This window comes from Homo sapiens, chromosome 16, assembly GCF_000001405.40.
Source record: "Homo sapiens chromosome 16, GRCh38.p14 Primary Assembly".
Lineage (NCBI taxonomy): Eukaryota > Metazoa > Chordata > Mammalia > Primates > Hominidae > Homo > Homo sapiens.
In genome coordinates, this window is record NC_000016.10 from 4,982,476 (window position 1) to 5,006,201 (window position 23,726).

A 23,726-nucleotide genomic window follows, 5' to 3' on the forward strand; every position below is an offset into this window, starting at 1 on the left:
GGGGCCCCTCAAGCTACCTTCACCCAGCTCTACACCCCCGCCTGGGAGGACCTCCGCCCGCACAGAAGCAAGCAGCCCCAGCACAGAGCCTGGGGCTGACCTGAATTGGCTCCGAGGACAGTGAGGGGCCCTTCCCTGTGAAGGGCACAGTGGCATGGAATCCAGCTTAACCTCCTGTGCTCGTGGCCAAATCCTGTGTGAGACACACGGAGAGACTGTGGAGGAAATAATCCTGGCCATCCCTTCTCCAGCACCCACAGCAGTTTGCTCAGTTCTCAGGACGACTGTGTGCAACAGGGCACTGAGAGGTTAAGTAACCCACCCAAGGTCACACAGCTTGTAAGTGGTAGAGCTGGGATTTGTACCCAGGCAGGGCTCGAGTCTGTGCTGTCAGCCAGGGTGAGACCCTCTAATGGCTCACAGGAAGCACATTACTGAATATTTACATGAACATATACAAAAAAAATTATGTAATAGATATATTCATATATAAAATAAACTCCTTAAACTACTCATATATTTATTTATATATTTATTTTTATTTTGAGATGGAGCCTGGCTCTGTTGCCCAGGCTGGAGTTCAGTGGCACGATCTCCGCTTACTGTAACCTCTGCTTCCTGGGTTCAAGCGATTCTCCTGCCTCAGCCTCCTGACTAGCTGTGATTACAAACATGTGCCACCATGCCCAGCTAATTTTTGTTGTTGTTGTTATTTTTTAGTAGAGACAGGGTTTCATCATGTTAGCCAGGCTGGTCTCAAACTCCTGACCTTAAATGATCTGCCTGCCTTGGCTTCCCAAAGTGTTGGGATTACAGGCATGAGCCACTGCTCACAGCATGCCCATATATTTATATATGGAATATATTATGTATCCATATATGAAATAATATATTTACATGGGTACATTTATATATACATTATATATTTATAGATATGTATAGATATGATCTATATTTATTTATATTCTATCTATGTTTATAAAATTATATTATACAGAACACCTTATATTTACATTGTGTATAGAAAGATATATGCACACTATATAAATTGTGTATATTTATATTAACATATATTCATATATATTTATATATACACTTAAATAATATATGTATACATGTGGCCAGGCGCGGTGGCTCACGCTTGTAATCCCAGCACTTTGGGAGGCCGAGGTGGACGGATCACCCGAAGTCAGGAGTTCAAGACCAACCTGACCAACATGGTGAAACCCCGTCTCTACTAGAAATACAAAAATTAGCAGGGTGTAGTGGCGTGTGCCTGTAATCCCAGCTACTTGGGAGGCTAAGGCAGGAGAATCGCTTGAACCTGGGAGGTGGAGGTTGCAGTGAGCCGAGATCGCGCCATTGTACTCCACCCTGGGTGACAAGAACAAAACTCTGTCTCAAATAAATAAATAAATAAATAAATAAATAAATAAATAAATAGTATATGTATACATGTGGATTCATATGTGTGTATGTGTACATATAAACACATACACTTGGAGAGAGAAAGACACTTTTTTAAAGAAACAGTTTTATTGAGATACAATTCACATATCATACAACTCATTCATTTACAGCACATAATTCAGTGGCTTTCAGTAGATTCATAATATTGTGCAAGCTTCACCGCAATCAGCTTTAGAATAGTCTCATTACCTCGAAAAGAAGCTCTGTCTGCCTTAACCCTCATCCCTCAACACCCCCACCATCTCTTTCCTCACCACTCCTGGTCCCTGGCAACCACTAATCTACTTTCTGTCTCTCTCTATTTGCCCGTTCTGAACATTTCATATAAAAGGATTCATGCAATATATGGTATTTTGTGATTGGCTACTTGCACTCAGCATAATATTTTCACAGTTCATCCATGTTGTAGCATGAATCAGTACCTTGTTCCTTTTTAAGGCTGTATAATATTCCATTTTATGGCTAGACCACCACTGATTTATTCCCTCATCCGTTGATGGACATTTGGGTTATTTCCACTTTGCCTATTACGAATAATGTTGCTATAAATATTTGTGTATTTTTTTGTGTGGACTTATGTTTTCATTTCTCTTGGGTACATACCTATGAGTGGAATTGCTGGATCATATGGTAACTCTTTGTTTAATTGTTTGAAGAACTGCCACACTGTTTTCCAAAGGGGTTGTATCATATTACATACACGTGGGAGGGTTTGGGGGCTTCAATTTCTCCACATCCTCACCAGCACTAGCTATTATTATGTCTTTTAAAAGTTATTATAGTCATCCTAGTGGATGTGAAGTGGTATTTCATTGTGGTTTGGATTTGCATTTCCCTAGTGACTAATGATGTTGAACATAGTTTCATTTGCTTTTTTGTGTTGGTATATTTTCCTTGGGGAAATGTCTGTTGAGATCTTCTGCCATTTTAAAATTGGGTCATCTCTTTATTGTTGAATTCTAACACTCGTTTATACATTCTAGATGCAAATCCCCCATTTTCTACACACACATGTACACATATGTATGTATGTATAATTTGCAAAAATTTTCTCCCATTCTCTGGGTTACCTTTTCACTTTCTTGCTTGTATCCTTTGAAACACAAAAGTTTTAAAATTTGATGATATCCAGTTTATTTTTTCTTTTATTGTTTGTGCTTTTGATGCCATAAGTAAAAAACCATTGCTTAATCCAAGTTCATAAAGATTTATTCATATGTTTTCTTCTAAGAGTTTTGTAGTTTTTAAAAAATGCTTTTAAAAAATTATTATTATTATTTTATTTGTTTATTTTTTTGAGATGGAGTTTTGCTCTTGTCGCCCAGGCTGGAGTGCAATGGCACAATGTCGCCTCACTGCAACCTCCGCCTCCTGGGTTCAAGTGATTCTCCTGCCTCAGCCTCCTGAGTAGCTGGGATTACAGGTGCATGCTACTATGCCCAGCTAATTTTTTTCTATTTTTAGGAGAGACAGGGTTTCACCATGTTGACCAGGCTGGTCTCTAGCTCCTGACCTTCGGTGATCCACCCGCCTCAGCCCCCCAAGGTTCTGGGATTAGAAGCGTGAGCCACCGCGCCCGGCTCCAACTTCATTCTGTTGCATGTGTATATCCAATTGTCCCGGCACCATTTGCTGAAGAGATTATTCTTTTCTCATCAGATTGTCTTGACACCTTTGTAAAAAATCAGTTGGTGATAAACGTAAGGGCTTATTTCTGGATGCTAAATTCTTTTCCACTGAGCTGTATGTCTCCCCTTATGCCAGTATCACACTGTTTTGATTACTGTAGCCTGATATATCTATATATTTATAGATACAATATATATTTATATACATACTATCTATATTTATAAAATTATATTATATAGAAACACCCTATATTTACATTGTGAGTAGATAGATATGTGCACAGTCTATATAAATTGTATTATTTTTTCTTTTATTGTTGAATAGCCTGATGTTGGTATAAATATTTGTGTATAATTTTTTTGTGTGGACTTATGTTTTCATTTATCTTGGGTATATACCTAGGAGTGGAATTGCTGGATCATAAGGTAATTCTATGTTTAACTGTTTGAAGAACTGCCAAGCCATTTTCCAAAGGGGTTGTACCGTATTACGTTCATATGACAGGGTTTGGGGGTTTCAATTTCTCCACATCCTCACCAACACGTGCTGTTATGTCTTCTTCTTCTTCTTTTTTTTTTTTTTGAGACAGAGTTTCGCTCTTGTCGCCCAGACTGGAGTGCAATGGTGTGATTTCAGCTCACTGAAACCTCTGCTTCTTGGTTTCAAGTGATTCTTCTGCCTCAGCTTCCCAAGTAGCTGGGATTACAGGCACCTGCCACCACGCCCGGCTGCTTTTTGTATTTTTAGTAGAGATGGGGTTTCACCATGTTGGCCAGGCTGGTCTTGAACTCCTGATCTCAGGTGATCCACCTGCCTTGGCCTCCCAAAGTGCTGGGATTGTATGCGTGAGCCACCACACCTGGCCTGCTACCACGTCTTTTAAAGTAAATCAGGAAATATGAGTTCTCCAATTTTGCTCTTTTTCGATTGCTTTTGGTTATCTTGGGTCTGTTGTATTTCCATATGAATTTTGGGATAAGCTTGTCAATTTCTGTAAAGAAGTCAACTGGGATGTGGATATTGTGTTGAATCTGTAGACTAGTTGGGGAATATTGCCATCTTAACAATGTTAAGTCTTCTGTTCCATGAATATGGGATGCCTTTCCATTTATTTAGGGCTTTAATTTTTTTCAGCAAATGTTTTGTAGTGTTCAGAGTATACATTTTACACTTCTTTTTGTTGAATATATTCCTAAGTATTTTATTCTTTTTGATGTTGTAAATAGAATTTTTTCATTTTATTTTCAGTTTGCTCATTGTTAGTACATAGAAATACAACTGATTTTTCTATATTGGTTTTATATCCTGCAACCTTGCTGAACTCATTGATTAGTTCTAATCTTTTTGTGTGTACGTGTGTGGATGCTTTAGGATTTTCTATATAAATGTTCATGTCATCTGCAAATACAGATAGTTTTACTTCTTCCTTTCCAACTGGATGGCTTTTATTTCTTTTACTTATCTAGAACCTCTAGCACAAGCTCGAATAGACACGAAGAATGCACATTGCTACCTTGTTCCTGATTTTAGGGGAAAGCACTCATTCACCAGGGATGTTAACTGTGGCTTTTAGCAGATGGCTTTACCAGGCGGAGGAAGTGCCCTTCTATTCCTAGTTTATTGAATCTTTTTTTTTTTTTTTATCATGAAGGGGTGTTGGATTTTTCTCAAATGCTTTTCCTGAGAAATACCTTATTTTAAAATGTCCCCAGAGTCCCTGTGCTTCCTTCTGAGGGCAAAAACTCAAATGCAGAGGCAAAACTTATGTGCCAAATCATTGTCCAGGCTCTGCTGTGTTGGGCTCTAACAGGTGCTAGCTGGTGGAACGATTGTTGGTAATGACGGCAAAATCCCTGCCCCTTCCAGTGGCCAGGGCTGCCTTTCCCGTCTGATAAGTGACACAGCAGATAAGGAGGTCGCGCTGGGGGGGGGGGTCCCTCTGCCCCCCCCACCACGGCCGCTCACTGCCGCTCTGCCCCCAGGCCTACGAGAAGCGTTTCCCCACGTGCCCACAGATCCCAGTCTTCCTGGGCAGCGAGGTCTTGCGCGAGTCCCGCAGCCCGGACGGGGCTGTGCACGTGGTGGAGCGGAGCTGCCGGCTGCGCGTGGACGCCCCGCGGCTGCTGCGGAAGGTGGGCGGCCCTGGGGCTGGGGGGCGGAGGAGGGGACCTGTTGCGGAGGTGCGGGAGGGCTGGGCGCGGGAGCTGGGGACCAGGGCGGCGGGGTCCAGGAGGTGGAGCAGGGGCGTGTGAGTTGATATTTGGATGGAGGTTCCAGGATGAGGGTGGCGGGACCAGGGCCCAGGAGGGGCGAGGGCTGGAAGGCTGGGCTGGGGAGTAGCGGGAACTGGGCGGGGTTCGCGGGGCCAGGGCCGGAGCTGGGTGGTGAAGATGGGTTGGCGGCAGGGCGGAAGTCGGGGGTTGGTGTCCTGGGTCCGGGCTGGGTGGGCGGTGGCGCAAGGGACCTGGGACTCAGGGCAGGGGGTGACTGGGGCAGGCCCGCCGGACTCGCTCTCCATTCCTGTGTGCTCCACGCCGCCCACCCACCTCCGCCTCCCCGCCCCTTCCCTTGCAGATCGCAGGTGTTGAGCACGTGGTCTTCGTGCAGACAAACATCTTGAACTGGAAGGAGAGGACGCTCCTCATCGAAGCGCACAATGAGACCTTCGCCAACCGCGTGGTGGTGAACGAGCACTGCAGCTACACGGTGAGCCCAGGCCACCCTCAGCGCCCACGCCCGGCACCCACCTGCGCCCGGCACCCACCTGTGCCCAGAGCTGTGTCCCCACATTCCTTGAGCCTCTGCCAAGCCCTCCCTCCTGGGGCATTGTCAAGAAAGATGCAGGATGCTTGGTTGCCTTTGCATTCCGATGAACAACCCATAATTTTTTTAGTATGTCTCAAATATTGCTTGGGATATACTTATACTCAAATGTTATTTGTTGTTTATTTGAAATTCAAACGTGACTGGACATCCTGTGTTTTATCTGTTAAATCTGACAACCCTATCCTCTCCCTCCTCTTTCCCCTCCCTCCTTTCCTTCCTTCTTTCATTAAATTATGCCTCAGTTTCCTCACGTGTGAAATGGGCTTAATAATCATGCCTACTACACAGGTAGTATGTGGCGCCTTTAGACCAGTGCCTGGCACATATTAAGTTCTACGTAAATGTTACCTTTGACTATAATTAATAATAATCATAATTATTCTCTAGTATATACTGATTGAGCACCTACTATGTGCCAGGCACCCTGCCAAGTGATGAGCACCCAGCAGTGGACCAGGCTGCCTGACCACTGCCCTCACGGAGGGTCCATTCCAGTGGAACAAAACGGAATCAGTGTGTGTGCATTTGTCACAGCTAAGGCTGGATCCAGCAGGGAGATGTGTGGGAGTCAGAGAAGGTGGTAGGGGCACTGAAGCTGAGTGCTGAAGGATGAGAGGAGCTGCTCATGGAGGACTGGGAACAGCATTTTGGGGGTGGGAACAGCATGAGTGAGGTCTGCCAAGGTGAGGCCATGGGGCCTAGATCTTGATGACTTTAGAGGCTGGAATGAGGCACCTGCAGGCATTCACTGATGGGACCCAGCTCTGCCACTTTCTTGCTGAGTGACGTTGGGCCACACTGTCTGTATCTGTAAAATCGGGACATTGGCAGATCCTGCCTTGCTGGATCGTTTTCACGATGATAACTCCAGGATAGCAATGGTAGACCATTGTACGTGTTTTTTTTTTTGTTTGTTTGTTTGTTTTGTTTTTTTTTTTGTTTGTTTTTTTGAGAGACAGTCTCGCTCTGTGGCCCAGGCTGGAGTGCACTGGCATAATCTTGGCTCACTGCAACCTCCGCCTCCTTGTTAAAAGGATTCTCTTGCCTCAGATTCTCACGCCTCAGATTCCCGTGTAGGTGGGATTACAGGCATGTGCCACCACATCCGGCTGATTTTTGTATTTTTAGTAGAGATAGGGTTTCTCCATGTTGGCCAGGCTATTCTCAAACTCCTGGCTTCAAGTGATCCACCCACCTTGGCCTTCCAAAGTGCTGGGATTACAGACATGAGCCACCGTACCCGGCTCCATTGCCTTTTCTTTCTACGCCTCCAACTCCTCTTGGGTCCTCCAGGAGCTTGGGCTCAGGGTGTTCAGATCTTCTGGGGAGGGGCAAGCAACAGTTGTTGAAACCCCTCTTAGTGTGTGTGGTGTTTCTCAGAATGAGTTCTATCAATAGCTGAGTCAGCAGCACCTGGGGCTGCTTGCGAAATGCAGATTCCTGGGCCCCAACCTGGAAGTGTCTAGGGGCAGGCCCAGGAATCTGCATATTTTAACAGACTCCTTGGTAATGTTTCTGCCCACAGACGTTTGAGGAGGACTAGGTCTGGATCCATAAAGGAGCTCTGCCAATGAAGTTTTCTTTTTGCAAACATACAGATCTATAAATGTTTATTGATATATAAGGATATGTAATATATCTTTATATAGATAACATATAATATACAACTATTTAAAAAATCTATATCTAAATTTTATGTGTAATATTGATATATAATTTATTTATAGATTATATAAATGATACACTGAACAATTGTATTTATTTTATTATTTTTTTTTTGGAGATGGAGTCTTGCTCTATTACCCAGGCTGGAGTGCAGTGGCATGATCTTGGCTCACTGCAACCTCCGCCTCCCAGGTTCAAGCGATTCTCCTGCCTCAGCCTCCCGAGTAGCTGGGATTACAGGCACCCACCACCATCTCTGGCTAATTTTTGGATTTTTAGTAGAGATGGAGTTTCACCATGTTGGCCAGGCTCGTCTCCAAGTCCTGACCTCAAATGATTCGCCCACCTTGGGCTCCCAAAGTGCTCGGATTACAGGCGTGAGCCGCCATGCCCGACCTAAACATAAGTATTTCTAACTAATTTTCTATGTATGTGTATAATATTGAAAGGGCAGGGCTGCAGATTTGAGACCCACATTCTCCCGGCTTCTCATGAGAAGGCTTTTTGTTCCCTGACAGTTTGAACTTTGCATCGTTCTCTGGGTGGGGGCCCCTTGGTCCTGCTACCCCATCCAGGGTTGCCAGGCTTGATCTGCTTTCCACTGCAGGCTCTGCCTGGGCCCAGGTCAGTGGGAGAGCCCTAGGGGAGGGCAGGGTGCCCCCGACATTGAGTCCCTGGCATGACCCCTGCCTGGCTTTCAGGTCCACCCTGAGAATGAAGACTGGACTTGCTTCGAGCAGTCTGCCTCACTGGACATTCGGTCTTTCTTTGGCTTTGAAAATGCCTTGGAGAAGATCGCCATGAAGCAGTACACCGCCAACGTCAAGAGGGTAAGCGGTGGGTTGCGTTAGTTACTGGAGGAAGGTGCACACACCTGCTCTGCCATCAACAGCTGCATGACCCCTGGCAAGACCCTTACCCTTCCTGGGCTCAGTGTTATCTGTTAAATGGGTACTCTAGTAATGACCAAATCACCACGAGATAATGGATGGAAAGTAACTGGTCTGTAACAGGGGCACCCTAATCCTCGCTCTGGCACCATGAGATGTCCAGGCTTATGTGGTGAATTATCTGGACAACAGATAATTCTGTGGTGCTTTTTTTTTTTTTTTTTTTTTTTTTAGATAAAATGATCATTGCTTGCTCTAAAGACCTCAGATCCATCCCTGAGTAAAAACCCGTTCTTGTGATGAAACAGATGAAATTAACTTTAATAACAAATTTTTAAACAATGTGTTATCAATATAAAACTTAATTCTCCGAGGTTGGAGGCCCAGTTGAGCCCAGGAATTTCAGAGCAGTCTAGGCAACATAGTGGACTCCATCTCTAAAAAAATAAAATAAAATAAAATTAGGTGGGTGTGGTGGTGTGTGCCTATAGTCCCAGCTGCTCAGGAGGCTGAGGCAGGAGGATCTCTTGATCCTGGGAGGTTGGGGCTGCAGTGCGCTGAGATGACACTACTGCACTCCAGCCTGGGCAACACAGCAAGACACTGTCTCAAAAAAAATAAACAAAAACAAAAACAACCCCCAACCCAAAAAACTGATTACTGAGCTATTTTGCATTCTTTGTTTCGTACCAAGCCTTGGAAATTAGGTGGGTGTTGGACACTCGCAGCTTCTCTCCATCCCGACCAGACACATCCAGCCACTCAATAGCCACGTGTCGGGGCTGGGACCTGAGCCGGCTGGGGGTGACTCCCTGTGGTGATCCTGTGACCCCCCTCCATCCTGCCCCGTGCTCATGTGTCTTGGGTCTCTCTGGCTTCCAGGGGAAGGAGGTGATTGAGCATTACCTGAATGAGCTCATCTCCCAGGGTACCTCGCACATTCCGCGCTGGACGCCTGCCCCAGTCCGTGAGGAGGATGCCCGCAACCAGGCTGGACCGAGGGACCCCAGCTCCCTGGAGGCCCACGGGCCCCGTAGCACCCTGGGGCCCGCTCTGGAGGCGGTCAGTATGGACGGTAGGTGGTACAGCCCAGGCCAGTCAGCCCTAGGAGGCTGCTGCAGGTCCTCTTGCTCCATGGGGGGCCCTGGGGCATGTTGGGGAGAATTGCCTGCCGTCCCCCCTGGGAATGGGTCTGGGTCTTGGAACGACACCGCCTCCTGCCTCCACTGAGTGCTTTTCTCTCTCTCCATCCTGGTCCAAGAGCAGAACTCATTTGTTTCTTTTCTTTTCTCTTTTCTTTTCTTTTCTTTTTTGAGACGGAGTCCCCCTATGTCTCCCAGGCTGGAGCGCAGTAGCACGATCTCGGCTCCCTGCAACCTCCGCCCCCCGGGTTCAAGTGATTCTTCTGCCTCAGCCTCCCAAGTAGCTGGGATTACAGGCATCTGCCACCACACCCGGCCAATTTTTTCTATTTTTAGCAGAGATGGGGTTTCACCATGTTGGTCAGGCTGGTCTCAAACTCCTGAGCTCAAGTGATCTGCTTGCCTTGGCCTCCCAAAGTGCTGGGATTACAGGCGTAAGCCGTTGCACCCGGCAAAAACTCATTTATTTCTAGATCAGGAATTAACCTCTGGTGCCTTGACATTGCCTCTTTCTCTGGTTTTACTATTTACTAACTTAGCAATTATTATGAATTTACTAATTATTACGATTGCTATTGCTATTTTAAATTATACGAGTAATGCATGATCATGGTAGAAAAAAATTCAAACTGTAAGGAAGATGTAAGAAGTACGATTCTTTTCCTCTCCCTAAAGGCTAACAATAGTTTTGTGTTTCTATGTCCTGAAGCTGTTTAGGTGCATATATGCACATAAAATGTATATATACCCACACACATATGTGTGTACATGCATACATACATGTGTGTCTTATGTTGAATACGTGAGAACATATACATTCCATTTGATATTTTGCTTTTTTTTCACTTACTAATGTTGCCTGAAAAACTTTCTGTATCAGTGCCTATGTCTTCTTTTCATACTTCATAGTATGGTGTGGTTGCACCATAACTAATTTATTAATAAATATTAATTATTTATTTAGAGACAGGGTCTTGCTCTGTTGCCCAGCTTGGTATGCAGTGGTGCAATCGTGTCTCTCTGTAACCTTGAAATCCTGGGCTCAAACGATCCTCCTGCCCCAGCTTCCTGAGTAGCTGGGACTATATAGGCACAGGCCACCATGTCTAGATAATTTATTTTTACTTTTATTTTATTTTTAATTAATTAATTAATTATTTTTGAAGTGGAGTCTCACTGTGTCACCCAGGCTGGAGTGCAATGGCACGATCTCAGCTCAATGCAACCTCTGCCTCCCGGCTTCAAGCAATTCTCCTGCCTCAGCCTCCTGAGTAGCTGGGATTACAGGCATGTGCCACCACACCTGACTAATTTTTAAATCTTTAGTGGAGACAGGGTTTCACCATGTTGACCAGGCTGGTCTTGAACTCCTGACCTCAGGTGATCCACCTGCCTTGGCTTCCCACAGTGCTGGAATTACATGTGAGCCACTGCCCATGGCCTTGATTATTTTGAATTAGTCTATTTAGCTAGTTCCCTATTGAAGGAAACAACCCTATTTAGGTCGTTTCAGTTTTTAAAAATACAAACAACATGGTACATGTGAGTACTTAATAATTTTTTTAAAATGTCTGTAAGTATATACAAAGCATAACATTTTAAAAGTGGAATTGCTGGTTCAAAGTTTACATGCAAGTAAAATTTTGGTAGATTTAACCATTAGGCTTCCAATGAGGTTGTACCAATCATTGTTCCCACTGAATGTGTAATTGCATCTATTCCTGACTTCACTCCAGCTCCCCACAAAAGTCTTAGTAAACATCTCAAACTTCTGAAAGGGAATAAAAGTAGTCACTTGTTGATTAGTGACAAGTTTTTTCATTATGAGCAAGATCAGGCATGATTTTTCATGTTTAGTGACTGTTTTCCTTTTTTTTTTTTTTTTTAATAATACATACTTGTTCTTGTCCTTTGTCCATTTTCTTATTTGCCCATTGCTTTCTTATTGGTTTGTAAGAGCTCTTTGTATATGAAGGCAACTAGCCTTTTGTCACAGTTCAAGCTTTTATGGACATGGAAAATGTTTACAATATAATGTTAAAAGGAAAAATCCTAGGATACAAATTGTATGTACACCACAAATCCAGTTCTAGCCATGTGTAAGATGTGTACTCAGGTTGATAATGTTTTTCCTTTAGGGCCACTGCCGTGCAGGGACTTCCCTAACTCTGACACACTTGGGTGGCAGTGCCATGGAACTAATAATACATCTGGGGCTCTGTTTAGGGAGAATGAAATTCATTCATACAACATGTATTATTCTTTTTCTTTTTTTTTTATCTGTCACCCAGGCTGGAGTGCAGTGGTGTGATCTCAGCTCACTGCAACCTCCGCCTCCTGGGTTCAAACGATTCTCCTGCCTCAGCCTCCCAAGGAGCTGGGACTACAGGCGTGCACCATCATTCCCGGCTAATTTTTGTATTTTTAGTAGAGACAGGGTTTCACCATGTTGGCCATGCTGGTCTCGAACTCCTGACCTCAAGTTATCCTCCTGCCTTGGTCTCCCAAAGTGCTGAAATTACATGCAACAAGTATTTATTCTGCACCGACTGTGTGTGCTGGTTGGCTGTTGTTGTATGTGCACATTTTTTTTTTTTTTATAACAGCGCCCGCTCCTGCCCCCTCCTGTGCACGCTCTCTGTGGCCTGGTCCCCTGTACCTTCCCCATTTTGCACAGGTCGCTCCTTCCTTCTCCATCTGTGCTGTCCGCCAGCAGCACAGGCACTCAGGGTGGCGGGCAGAGGACATCCTCATGCCCCTTCTGCCCTCTCCTGAATCACTGAGTCTTTGTGCTCAGAAGTAGAAAAAGCCTTCACATCTGCCCGGGGCCGGAAGGATGCTGGGAGCTCCGGCCTCTCTCGTTTTTCTCCCTCATCCCATCCTCACTCCCTCCCTGATTCCAGCATCTCTGCCTCTGACCACACAAGGTCTGGACAATTCGCCCTCTGCCAACATTCTCCCACCTCTGTTTACCTAGATGGCTCCTGGCACAGCAGTTGGCGTGACCCCCCACTGTGGGCTTTTCTGTTTTGGGGGTGCTGCTGGCCGTTCATTCAGCCTGTTTTCTTATTTAGCCATCTGTCTACAAAGAACTGGCTCTGCCCACGGAGGCTGCTGCTTTGTGTGACGTCTCCGCCCACTGCTGAGATGCCACGAGGCCTCTGCACGCCAGCATCTGCCACCCTCATGGCTAAGAGTGGGGGAACAGGACTCAAGCTTGGGGCCTGGCCTCTGCACACTGGCAACATTCCGACTACAACCGCCCAGTTGTGGGGGACAAGGCTGCACAGTGGGAATGTTCCCTGTGGTTCCCAGGCTGCTAAAGAGAGCATGGCTGTGTTGCAAGGTCCAGGCTCTGTTAAAAGCTGCTGTCTGTCAAAACCCCACAATGGGGCCTGGGGATGGGGCAAAGCAAAGAGAACTGGTGTTTATCAGCCACCTCCTTTGTGCTGGGTGCACAACATGCATTTACTCATTCGAGTTACTCCACCTCTCTAGGCCTCAGTTTTATCTTCTCTCTCTCTCTCTTTTTTTTTTTTTTTTTTTTAAGACGGAGTCTCACTCTGTTGCCCAGGCTGGAGTGCAGTGGTGCAATCTTGGCTCACTGCAACCTCCATCTCCCAGGTTCAAGCGATTCTCCTGACTCAGCCTCCTGAGTAGCTGGGATTACAGGTGTGTGCCACCACGCCTGGCTAATTTTTGTATTTTAATAGAGACTGGGTTTCACCATGTTGGCCAGGCTGGTCCCAAAATCCTGACTTCAAGTGATCTGCCTGCCGTGGGCTCCCAAAGTCCTGGGATTACAGTCGTGAGCCACCACTCACAGCAGTTTTATCTTCTCTAAAGTGGGGATAATAGTGACGCCTGCCTCACAGGGGTGTGGAGAGAGCTCAGTGAGACCAGGTGGCTTCTGAGAAGGTAGTGAGTGTAAGCCCATATTGTTAAGAATCCTTAGAACATCCCCAGAGGGTGGGAATTATCTTCAATTCCCAGGGTCAAAGAGGAGAAATCCCATCTCACAGTGAGATCCAGGTTTGCCTGATGATGCGTTTTCAGAACCCCCTTGGACATGGGCTGGAGAAATGAATGCATTCAGAGTCCGGTGGCTGCTGTCTGGGGCGGGGGCTTAGCCTGGTTTGGAACCACGTTTTAGAGTCAGTGAGGCAGCCAGTAAGGAATGGCACACAGACCACATGGTAAAGAGACGCAGCGTCTCCCTCTTGTCCTGAAGCTCCCCCTTCTCCTCCAAGGGGACAAGCTGGATGCGGACTACATTGAGAGGTGCCTGGGCCACCTCACGCCCATGCAGGAGAGCTGCCTGATCCAGCTTCGGCACTGGTTACAGGAGACCCACAAAGGCAAGGTGGGTGCAGGGGGTACCCTGGAGCAGTGGATGAATGGGCAATGACTGGTACTCAGCCTCCGTGCATGGGAAGGAAAGGCGAGATGATAATGCTGACACATTATCTCTTGCTTATTTATTTATTTATTCATTTATTTCTGTGAGACAAAGTCTCACTCTGTCCCCCAGGCAGTGGTGTGATCCTCACTGCAACCTTCGCCTCCTGGGTTCAAGCAATTCTCCTGCCCTAGCCTCCTGAGTAGCTGGGGTTACAGGCGCACACCACCACGCCTGGCTAATTTCTGTACTTTTTGTAGAGATGGGGTCTCACCATGTTGCCCCGGCTGGTTCTGTAATTTTATCTGCTGGGTCAGGGGATACCGTTCTGTGGGCTTTTTACTTCTTTGTCTCTCAGATTCCCAAAGATGAGCACATCCTTCGGTTCCTGCGGGCTCATGACTTCCACCTGGACAAGGCCCGGGAAATGCTGCGCCAGTCCTTGAGCTGGCGCAAGCAGCACCAGGTGGATCTCCTCCTTCAGACCTGGCAACCCCCTGCCCTGCTGGAGGAGTTCTATGCAGGGGGCTGGCATTACCAGGACATAGGTGCGTGCCTCCACCCACATCATGTATAGGGCATACTTTGGTCACTGCCAAATGCACTTTATTTATTATTTTGAGATGGGGTCTCACTCTGTCACCCAGGCTGGAGTGCAGTGGTGCCATCTCGGCTCACCATAATCTCCGCTTCCCGGGTTCAAGCAATTCTCCTGCCTCAGCCTCCCCAGCAGCTGGGATTACAGGCACCCGCCACCACAGCTGGCTAATTTTTTGTATTTTTAGTAGAGATGAGGTTTTGCCATTTTGACCAGGCTGGTCCCAAATTCCTAATCTCAAGTGATCTACCTGCCTTAGACTCCCAAAGTGTTGGGATTACAGGCATGAGCCACCGCACCCGGCCCAAATGCCCTTTAAATGCCATGCTTCATGCTAACATCTTACTATTTTTCCTTTTGACTCTTCCAGGCATCTAGAAATGCTTTGAAGTGACAACCTAGCTAGGAAGAACCAGAGCTGGAAGGCTTTGGGGCTTGAGGAGGAGACATTTCTCCACTGGGCTGAGTGAGCCCACAATTACTCACAATAATTGTGATCGTAAAGGTAACAGGTGCATACATTTTGTATGCATTTCCAAGGGCAGTTGTAGCAAATTGGCACAATCTTGGTGGCTTAAAACAGTAGAAATGTGTTCTTTCACAGTTCTCGAGGCCAGAAGTCTGGAGTCAAGGCGTCACCAGGGCCGTGCTCCCTCTGAAAGTTCTAGGGGAGAATCCTTGCCTGCTTTTTCCAGCTTCTGGTGGACCCAGGTGTTCCTTGGCTGGTGGCAGCTTCACTCCAGTCTCTGCCTCTCTCTTCACATGGCCTTCCCCTCTGTGTTTCTGTGTCCTCGCCTCTTCTCATAAGGACCCCAGGAGATTGGATTTAGGGCTCACCCCAAATCCAGTGTGATTTTATCTTGAGATCCTTAACTAATTAACTAATTACACCTGCACAGACTCTAGTTCTTTTTTTTTTTTTTTTTTGAGACAGAGTCTGGCTCTGTCACCCAGGCTGGAGTGCAATGGTGTGATCTCAGCTCACTGCAACTCCGCCCCCCGCCAGGTTCAAGCGATTCTCCTGCGTCAGCCTCCTGAGTAGCTGGGACTACAGGCGTGCACCACCATGCTTGGCTAATTTTTGTACTTTTAGTAGAGATGGGGTTTCACCATGTTGGCCAGGCTGTTCTTGGAACTCCTGACCTCAAGTGATCCGCCCGCCTTGGCCTCCTGAAGTGCTGGGATTACAGGAGTGAGCCACTGCACCCAGGCATGGGTCACATTTTAATGTCCCCATGGATATGAGTTTTGGGACACGATTCCACCCATTACAAATATCTTTTCTGGATTTTTAAGTTAAATTGCCACTGAAGCCTGTGCCTACGACACTTTCCAATGTCCTTTATCTAAACGTTCATCTAGGGCCGGGCGCGGTGGCTCACGCCTGTAATCCCAGCACTTTGGGAGGCCGAGGCGGGCGGATCACGAGGTCAGGAGATCGAGACCATCCCGGCTAAAACGGTGAAACCCCGTCTCTACTAAAAATACAAAAAATTAGCCGGGCGTAGTGGCGGGCGCCTGTAGTCCCAGCTACTTGGGAGGCTGAGGCAGGAGAATGGCGTGAACCCGGGAGGCGGAGCTTGCAGTGAGCCGAGATCCCGCCACTGCACTCCAGCCTGGGCGACAGAGCGAGACTCCGTCTCAAAAAAAAAAAAAAAAAAAAAAAAAAAAATAAACGTTCATCTATATCAAGTAGGGTAAACGCTTGACTCTCCTAAAGAACCGGCTGGCATGGTTTCTCTTAACGATCAATCTTCCTAATTTATGGAATCCAAATTTATGAACTCCCCTTATTGCTGAAATTTACTTGTAACCCCCAAATCAGTATTCACAGAACTTTTTCAGTCATGCTGAGACATATTCAGAGTGGCGAAGTATTGGAGTCGCCCATCACGCATGCTGTCTGCTGAAGTTGAATGACGCGGCTCCTGCCTTTTTGTTTCAGTTCTCATACCCTAAACGAGTGTCCTTTTTGTGGCCTATTTAATGCCACATTGTTGCATTTTTGGGCTTTTCTTTGGTGACTTTGCTGTTTAAAATGCCTCTTCGTGTAGTGCAGAATTGCGCCTAGCTTTCCTAAGGATGAGCAAGTGGCCACGTGCTCCATGCAGAAAACACCCAAAGTGCTCCACTAGCTTCAGGCAGGCACCAGCTACAGGGCTGCTGGCCGTGAGTTCAATGCTGACAGATCAGCAATATGCATTCAAGTGTCCTTAAACAGAAACACAAGCCGGGCGCAGTGGCTCACACCTGTAATCAGAGCTCTCTGGGAAGCCAAAGCTGGAGGATCGCTTAAGCCCAGGAGTTCGAGACCAGCCTGGGCAACATAGTGAGCTCGCCCCCCTCCACCACATCTCCACAAAAAATACAAAAAAATTATCTGGGCATGGTGCTGCATGCCTGTGGTCCCAGCTACTTGGGAGGCTGAGGTGGGAGGATTGTTTAAGCTGGGGAGGTTCAGGCTGCAGTGAGTCGAGATCATGCCACTGCACTCCAGCCTGGGTGACAGAGTGAAACCCTGCCTCAAAGAACAAAGAGGCCAGGCATGGTGGGCTCACGTCTGTAATCCCAGCATTTTGGAAGGCCGAGGCGGCAGATCACTTGAGGCCAGGGGTTCGAGACCAGCCTGGCCAACATTGTGAAACCCTGTCTCTACTAAAAATACCAAAAATTAGCCAAGCGTGGTGGTGCATGCCGGTAGTCCCAGCTACCTGGGAGGCCGAGGTGTGAGAATCGCTTGAACCTGGGAGGCAGAGGTTGCAGTGAGCTGAGATTGCTCCACTGAACTCCAGCCTGGGTGATACAGTGAGACTCTGTCTCAAAAACCAACAAATCAACCAACTAACAAACCAACAGACAAAAAACACCACATAAAACAAGGTTATATATTGATTGGTTGACAAAAAGTATTATGGGGCCAGCTGCGGTGGCTCATGCCTGTGATCCCAACACTTTGGGAGGCTGAGGTGGGTGTACACCTGAGGTCAGGAGTTTGAGACCAGCCTGGCCAAGATGGTGAAACCCCATTTCTACTAAAAATACGAAAATTAGCCGGGTGCGGTGGTGGGCGCCTGTAATCCCAGCTACTCGGGAGGCTGAGGCAGGAAAATTGCTTGAACCTGGGAGGCCGAGGTTACAGTGAGCCGAGATCGCACCACTGCACTCCAGCCTGGGTGACAGAGCAAGACTCTGTCTCAAATAAATACATAAATAAAAATGTTTTGTAGAGAAGAGGTCTCATTATGTTGCCCAGGCTGGTCTCAAAACTCCTGTGTTCAAGCAATCCTCCTGCCTCTGCCCCCCAAAATGCTGGGGTAATAGGTGTGAGCCACTGTGCTGGCCCTTATCCTCATTGTAACACTTCTGTTTTTCTGCCTTTCACAATAAGGGGCGTCAGCCCCTCTTGGAAGCAGGCAGGGTGTTAGTAAGTGAAGGCTGGATCGGGCCTTGGTGGGTTGCAGCCTGAGGAGGTGAAGCTCTCACCTGCAGCTGTGACCTGCCCCTCGGAAGCAGTCCTCTAAATAACGGGCTCTTCTTTCTGCTTGGCCCCATCCACAAAGATGGCCGCCCCCTCTACATCCTCCGCCTGGGCCAGATGGACACCAAAGGCTTGATGAAGGCCGTGGGGGAGGAGGCGCTGCTGCGGCATGTGAGTCAGGGGCCTCGTTCCTGGACGCCGTGCCTGGGGCCGGGCCTGGGAAGGACTGTGTGGGGTAAAGCAGCGAGGCGGACGTTGAGCAGCACTGTCTCTCCCTTCCAGGTTCTCTCCGTCAACGAGGAAGGACAGAAGCGGTGTGAGGGGAGCACAAGGCAGCTGGGCCGTCCCATCAGGCAAACACCTGGGCTGGGCACAAATCCCCCCTAAACAGCAAAGACGGAGGGTGGAGAGGGGTCCACTGTGCATATGTGCTGGGCTGGGCAGCGTGCCAGGGGCTTCATTCTCCCCCAGTTTCTACAGTGGTCTTCTGGGCCTTGAGGCAGGGCCCGTAAGCATCCCCGTTTTCTATGCATGGGGAAACTGAGATTCAGAATGGTGGCCCCCATCGAAGCTTGTGAGCCGGTCAGGACAGAGCTGGATTTGAACCTGGGGTCCTGTCTGGCTTCTAGCTCGAAGACTTTATCCTCCCACTCCACTCAACAGTCTCCTTGACTTTGCTTTTTTTTTTTTTTTTTTTCTTTTTTGAAACGGAGTCTCGCTCTGTCGCCCAGGCTGGAGTGCAGCGGTGCAATCTCAGTTCACTGCAAGCTCTGCCTTCCGGGTTCAAGCGATTCTCCTGCCTCAGCCTCCAGAGTAGCTGGGACTACAGGCACCCGCCACCACGCCTGACTAATTTTTTTGTATTTTTAGTAGAGACAGGGTTTCACTGTGTTAGCCAGAATGGTCTCGGTCTCCTGACCTCGTGATCCGCCTGCCTCGGCCTCCCAAAGTGCTGGGATTACAGGCGTGAGCCACCACTCACAGCCTGACTTTGCTTTTTGAGATCAGCTCTCCACCACGAGTTCTCCCTTGGCTCTGTCATGGCACATCCAGGAACCCAGTGTCCTCTGCAGGAACCCACTGTCCTCTGACTCCCCCGCATTTCTGTTCCTGAACTGTTTCCCGGAGCCAGTACTTACGGTGGCATCGCCCCCAAAGGCAGCAAACCTTTCTGAGCAGCAGCTTCCTCTTCTGTAAAGTGGCTTTTTTTTTTCCTTTGAGACAGGCTCTCACTCTGTCACCCAAGCTGGAGTGCAGTGGTGCAATCACAGCTCACTGCGGCCTTGACCTGCTGGGCTCAAGCAGTCCTCCCACCTCAGCCTCCCAAGCAGCGGGGACTATAAATGTGCACCACCTTGCCCAGCTAATTTTTTTTTTTGCAGAGATGAGGTCTCACCCTGTTGCTCAGGCTGGTCTAAAACTCCTGGGCTGAAGTGATCCTCCCACCTTGGCCTTCCAAAGGGTTGGGATTACAGGCGTCAGCCTCTGTTCCCAGCCTGTAAAGTGGCTTTTACAAATGGATTCTCAAAAATAATAAGGGTTTAAAAATAATGCAAACACGGATCTTGCACTTGCTATGTAGCAGGTGCCCTTCTAAGCACCTTGATTCATTTCCTCCTCCTAAACAGCCCTGTGAGACACGGGCAGGCAGGAGCTGCTGCTTCAGCTTTTCAGCCCCAAATATCCCGATCTTTGTGAAAATTAAAGTTCCTTTGCTGTTTGCAGATTTTTTTTTTTTTTTTTTGACAGAGTCTCGTTCTGTCGCCCAGGCTGGAGTACAGTGGTGCAATCTTGGCTCACTCCAACCTCCACCTCCTGGGTTCAAGTGATTCTCGTGCCTCAGCCTCCCAGGTAGCTGGGATTACAGGTGCCTGCCACCACGCCTGGCTAATTTTTGTATTTTTAGTAGAGATGGGGTTTCACCATGTTGGCCAGGCTGGTCTCTAGAGATTTTCTAAGGACACGTATGTTGGGGTGGAAGTGGGAATCAATCCATTAGTGTCCTGGCCGGAAGCATAATTCACCCCAGATGGCTCAAATGAGGGAGTGTCATGAAGGGATGCTTTGGAGAGGTGTGTGCAGGTTTAAGCGAACAAATCTGGGAGGTGGAGGCTCCCGGGCACCAGCCGCTGCAGTCAAACAGTTATTTTCCTAATGAATGAATACTAATGAAATGGAGGCACAGAGAGGTTCAGGACTTGACCAAGATCACACAGCAAGTGGCAGAACTGGGATTTGAACCTTGGCCATCTGACTGTGGAGTGCATGCTCTCAGCACCTCTGCTCTATTTAGTAGTTAGCATCTTTTCAACAATTAACTCATTTATGCCTGAGGTTGCAATGTTTTGAATTTTTGCAATCAGACCTTGGTGATGACCTTGAGCAGTAGGATAGAAATAACTCCCACACGCTTAGCATTGCAATAATGGAATGCTAGGCCTAAATGGCCACTTGTGATAACCAGCTATAATTGAGGGCATGTGGTGTGCCCGTCCTTGCAGAGAGCTTTGTATATACCATCTCACTTGATCCTAACAGCAGTTGCTTCAGATGAGGACTGTTACTACCTTTGCCACTGTCCTATGAGTAAGTGGGTCTGTGCCCTGACCTAAGGCTCTCAGGGGTGCAGGTGAGACTTGAATTTGGGCGCTCAGCCCTGAAGTCCACAGTCTGATCCTCTTCATCGCATGGGCTCCCTACTGTGGCAGGAGCCCCCATCTGCTCCCAGCCCTATCTCTCGGAGCCTCCCTGTTCATCCCCTGTGGGGAGGGTGTTGGTGGCCTTGGGAGGCAGCAGAGCCAGGTGGAGCTGGGGCTATTTCTGCCACAGCTCCTGGACCTGCCTGCTAGACCTGGAGGGACTCAACATGCGGCACCTGTGGCGGCCGGGGGTGAAGGCCCTGCTGCGGATGATTGAGGTGGTTGAGGACAATTACCCAGAGACCCTGGGTCGGCTGCTCATCGTGCGAGCCCCCCGAGTCTTCCCCGTGCTCTGGACACTGGTAAGAGCTGGAGCCTGGGCCAGGACTCTCCCTGGGGGTGGGTGGGATGGGAGGGGTTCCGTCTGCAAGCAGCTCTGCTCTCTTTTCCTGTTTCATTTCATTTAGTAACTTTTTGGAGATGAAACTCACATAGCATAAAGCTCACACTTTTTAAGTATAGACTCCAGTGGTCTTTCCTGTATTCACTGAGTTAAGCAATTGTCACCACTAGCCAATCCCAGAACATTTCTGTCGCCCCAAAAAGAACCCCCATGCCCATTATCGTGGGTCTCAAATTCCTGGGCTCAAGCGGTCCTCTTGCCTTGGCTTCCCAAAGTGTTTGTGTTATAGGTGTGAGCCACTGCGCCTGACCTGAAATATACTCTATATTGTAACCCGGTGGGTACACGCGTGCATGCACCCATGTGCGCGCACACATACACCCACGCCCACACACACACTCCTCTGAAACAAGGGTGCAGCCAGCCACTTGCATAGTGTGGGCAAAAGCCTGGAGGCTGGACCCAGCTTGATGCTTTGGAGGAACTGAAGAAACAGTCCAGGGTGGCTGAGCAAAAAAGAGCAAAAGGGACGACAGCACCTGAGGAGGCTGGAAGATGTACAGGGGCAATAGGGACCCATGGAGGGTTCAGTAGCAGGGGAGGGTGGGGGACAGACTTAGGGGCCAGGAAGTTCTCTAGCTTTTGTGGGTGCTTCAAGGCTCTGTTCAGGTGAGGCTAGGGGGCAGGAGCTGCTTCTGAAGCTTTTTATCCTGAATTGTCCTAATCTCCGGGAAAATTAAGTCCACCTGCTGTTTGGGGTGGTTTTGGGAGTGCGAGCACATCAGCCGGGGTCCTGGCTGGAAGTGGACCTCACCCAGATGGTTCAAATGAGGGGTGTCCTGAAGGGGCTCCTTGCAGAGGTGTGGGCAGGGGAAGGAGAGACCCCAAGCACCAGTGACTGCAGTAAGCCTGGCCACCCCCAAGAGGAGGGAATGTCCTTGCAGAATCCTGGGGAAAGCTGGGACAGGGGTGGGGGCAGGGAGCTACTGGGGGTCAGCCTCAGCCTCCTGGGGCCCAGCACAGCACAGAGCGCAGTGGGGCTGGGGACAGGAGAGGGCCCTGCACGGGGGGATTGCAGTTTCCTCACCTATCTCTTGGCTTGTGGCATTCCCTGTAGAACTGGCCTGTTATCTGCCATGCCAAGGGCTCCTTCCTTCTTTCTCTCTCTCCCACTTCCTTCCTTCTTTATCAACATGTGGCTTAGAGCTCAGTGTTAAAATGGATTCCATCTGGAATAAACAAACTGTGGAATACTGTTCCATCCATGTAATGGAATAGCATTCGTCCATAAGAAGGAAGGAAGCACTGATCCTCCAACACGGAGGGACCTCGAAAACCTGATGCTCAGTGAAAGGGGCCAGACACGGAAGTCCATGTACTGTGTGATCTCCTTTATATGAAATGTGCAGAATAGGGCTGGGCGAGGTGGCTCACGCCTGTAATCCCAGTACTTTGAGAGGCCGAGGTGGGTGGATCACCTGAGGTCAGGAGTTCAAGACCAGCCTGGCCAACATGGTGAAAATACAAAAGTACAAAATTAAAATACAAAAATTAGCCAGGCATGGTGGTGGGAGCCTGTAATCCCAGCTACTTGGGAGGCTGAGGCAGGAGAATCACTTGAACCTGGGAGGTGCAGCTTGCAGTGAGCCAAGATTGCGCCATTGCACTCAAGCCTGGGAGACAGAGCGAGACTCTGTCTCCGAAACAAAAACAAAAAAGAAACGCCCAGAATAGGCAAATCCACAGAGACAGAGTGTAGATGGGTGGTTGCCCTGGGTTGGGGGAGGGGAGATGGGAAGTGACGGTGGGGTGGGAATGGGGTTTCCTTCTGGGGTGATGAACATGTCTAGGTAGAGGTGCTGGCTGCACAAGCTAGTGAGTGCACTGAAAGCCACTGAACTGTGCACTTTATAATGATTAATTCTATGTTGTATAAATTATATCTCAATAAAAAAATACATCCATGGTCAGGCGTGGTGGCTCACACCTGTAATCCCAGCACTTTGGGAGGCCGAGGCAGGTGGATCACGAGGTCAGGAGATCGAGACCATCCTGGCTAACATGGTGAAACCCCGTCTGTACTAAAAATACAAAAAAAAATTAGCCGGGCATGGTGGTGGGTGCCTGTAGTCCCAGCTACTCGGGAGGCTGAGGCAGGAGGATGGCGTGAACCCGGGAGGTGGAGCTTGCAGTGAGCCAAGATCATGCCACTGCACTCCAGCCTGGGCGACTGAGCAAGACTCCGTCTCAAAAAAAAAAAAAAAAAAACCATCCATCTTGCCTTATGTCCTGGTTTCAGATCAGCCCCTTCATCAATGAGAACACCAGGCGGAAGTTCCTCATCTACAGTGGCAGCAACTACCAGGGACCCGGAGGCCTTGTGGACTATCTGGATAGAGAAGTGATCCCTGACTTCCTTGGGGGAGAGAGTGTGGTGAGGCTTCCATGTCCACAGACAGACCTGGGCTTGAGGAGGGGGCATGCCTAGCTGGGAGGCTGGGATTCCCGGAGTGGGGCTGGGAGGTGGAGGGGGGCTGGGTGCGGCATGTGCACTCTGCCTAGGGCAGGTCTTGCTGGCTCTCAGCAG

General features: G+C 48.3%; 1 protein-coding gene across 3 annotated transcripts in view, besides 1 other annotated feature; it reads left to right on the forward strand.

Annotated features, from left to right (window-relative positions):
• The window catches only part of SEC14L5 (SEC14 like lipid binding 5), a 60,828-nt gene that overhangs the window by 24,146 nt on the left and 12,956 nt on the right, over positions 1 to 23,726 (forward strand). For all 3 annotated transcript variants that reach the window (XM_024450497.2, XM_024450498.2, NM_014692.2), the window contains exons 3-12: positions 5,082 to 5,231; positions 5,674 to 5,805; positions 8,292 to 8,420; positions 9,363 to 9,555; positions 13,873 to 13,985; positions 14,380 to 14,569; positions 18,180 to 18,268; positions 18,380 to 18,450; positions 20,927 to 21,098; positions 23,439 to 23,573. In XM_024450497.2, coding sequence (XP_024306265.1) covers positions 5,082 to 5,231; positions 5,674 to 5,805; positions 8,292 to 8,420; positions 9,363 to 9,555; positions 13,873 to 13,985; positions 14,380 to 14,569; positions 18,180 to 18,268; positions 18,380 to 18,450; positions 20,927 to 21,098; positions 23,439 to 23,573 — 1,374 coding nt within the window. The remainder of the gene's footprint in view (positions 1 to 5,081; positions 5,232 to 5,673; positions 5,806 to 8,291; positions 8,421 to 9,362; positions 9,556 to 13,872; positions 13,986 to 14,379; positions 14,570 to 18,179; positions 18,269 to 18,379; positions 18,451 to 20,926; positions 21,099 to 23,438; positions 23,574 to 23,726) is intronic.
• Positions 18,752 to 18,943: a silencer, noted in NCBI's record as "fragment chr16:5051228-5051419 (GRCh37/hg19 assembly coordinates)". NCBI's record gives its function as "represses an EF-1alpha promoter that drives an FKBP-Casp9 reporter gene in an ReSE screen in K562 erythroleukemia cells {active_cell/tissue: K562}" and the evidence as "EXISTENCE:reporter gene assay evidence [ECO:0000049][PMID:32094911]".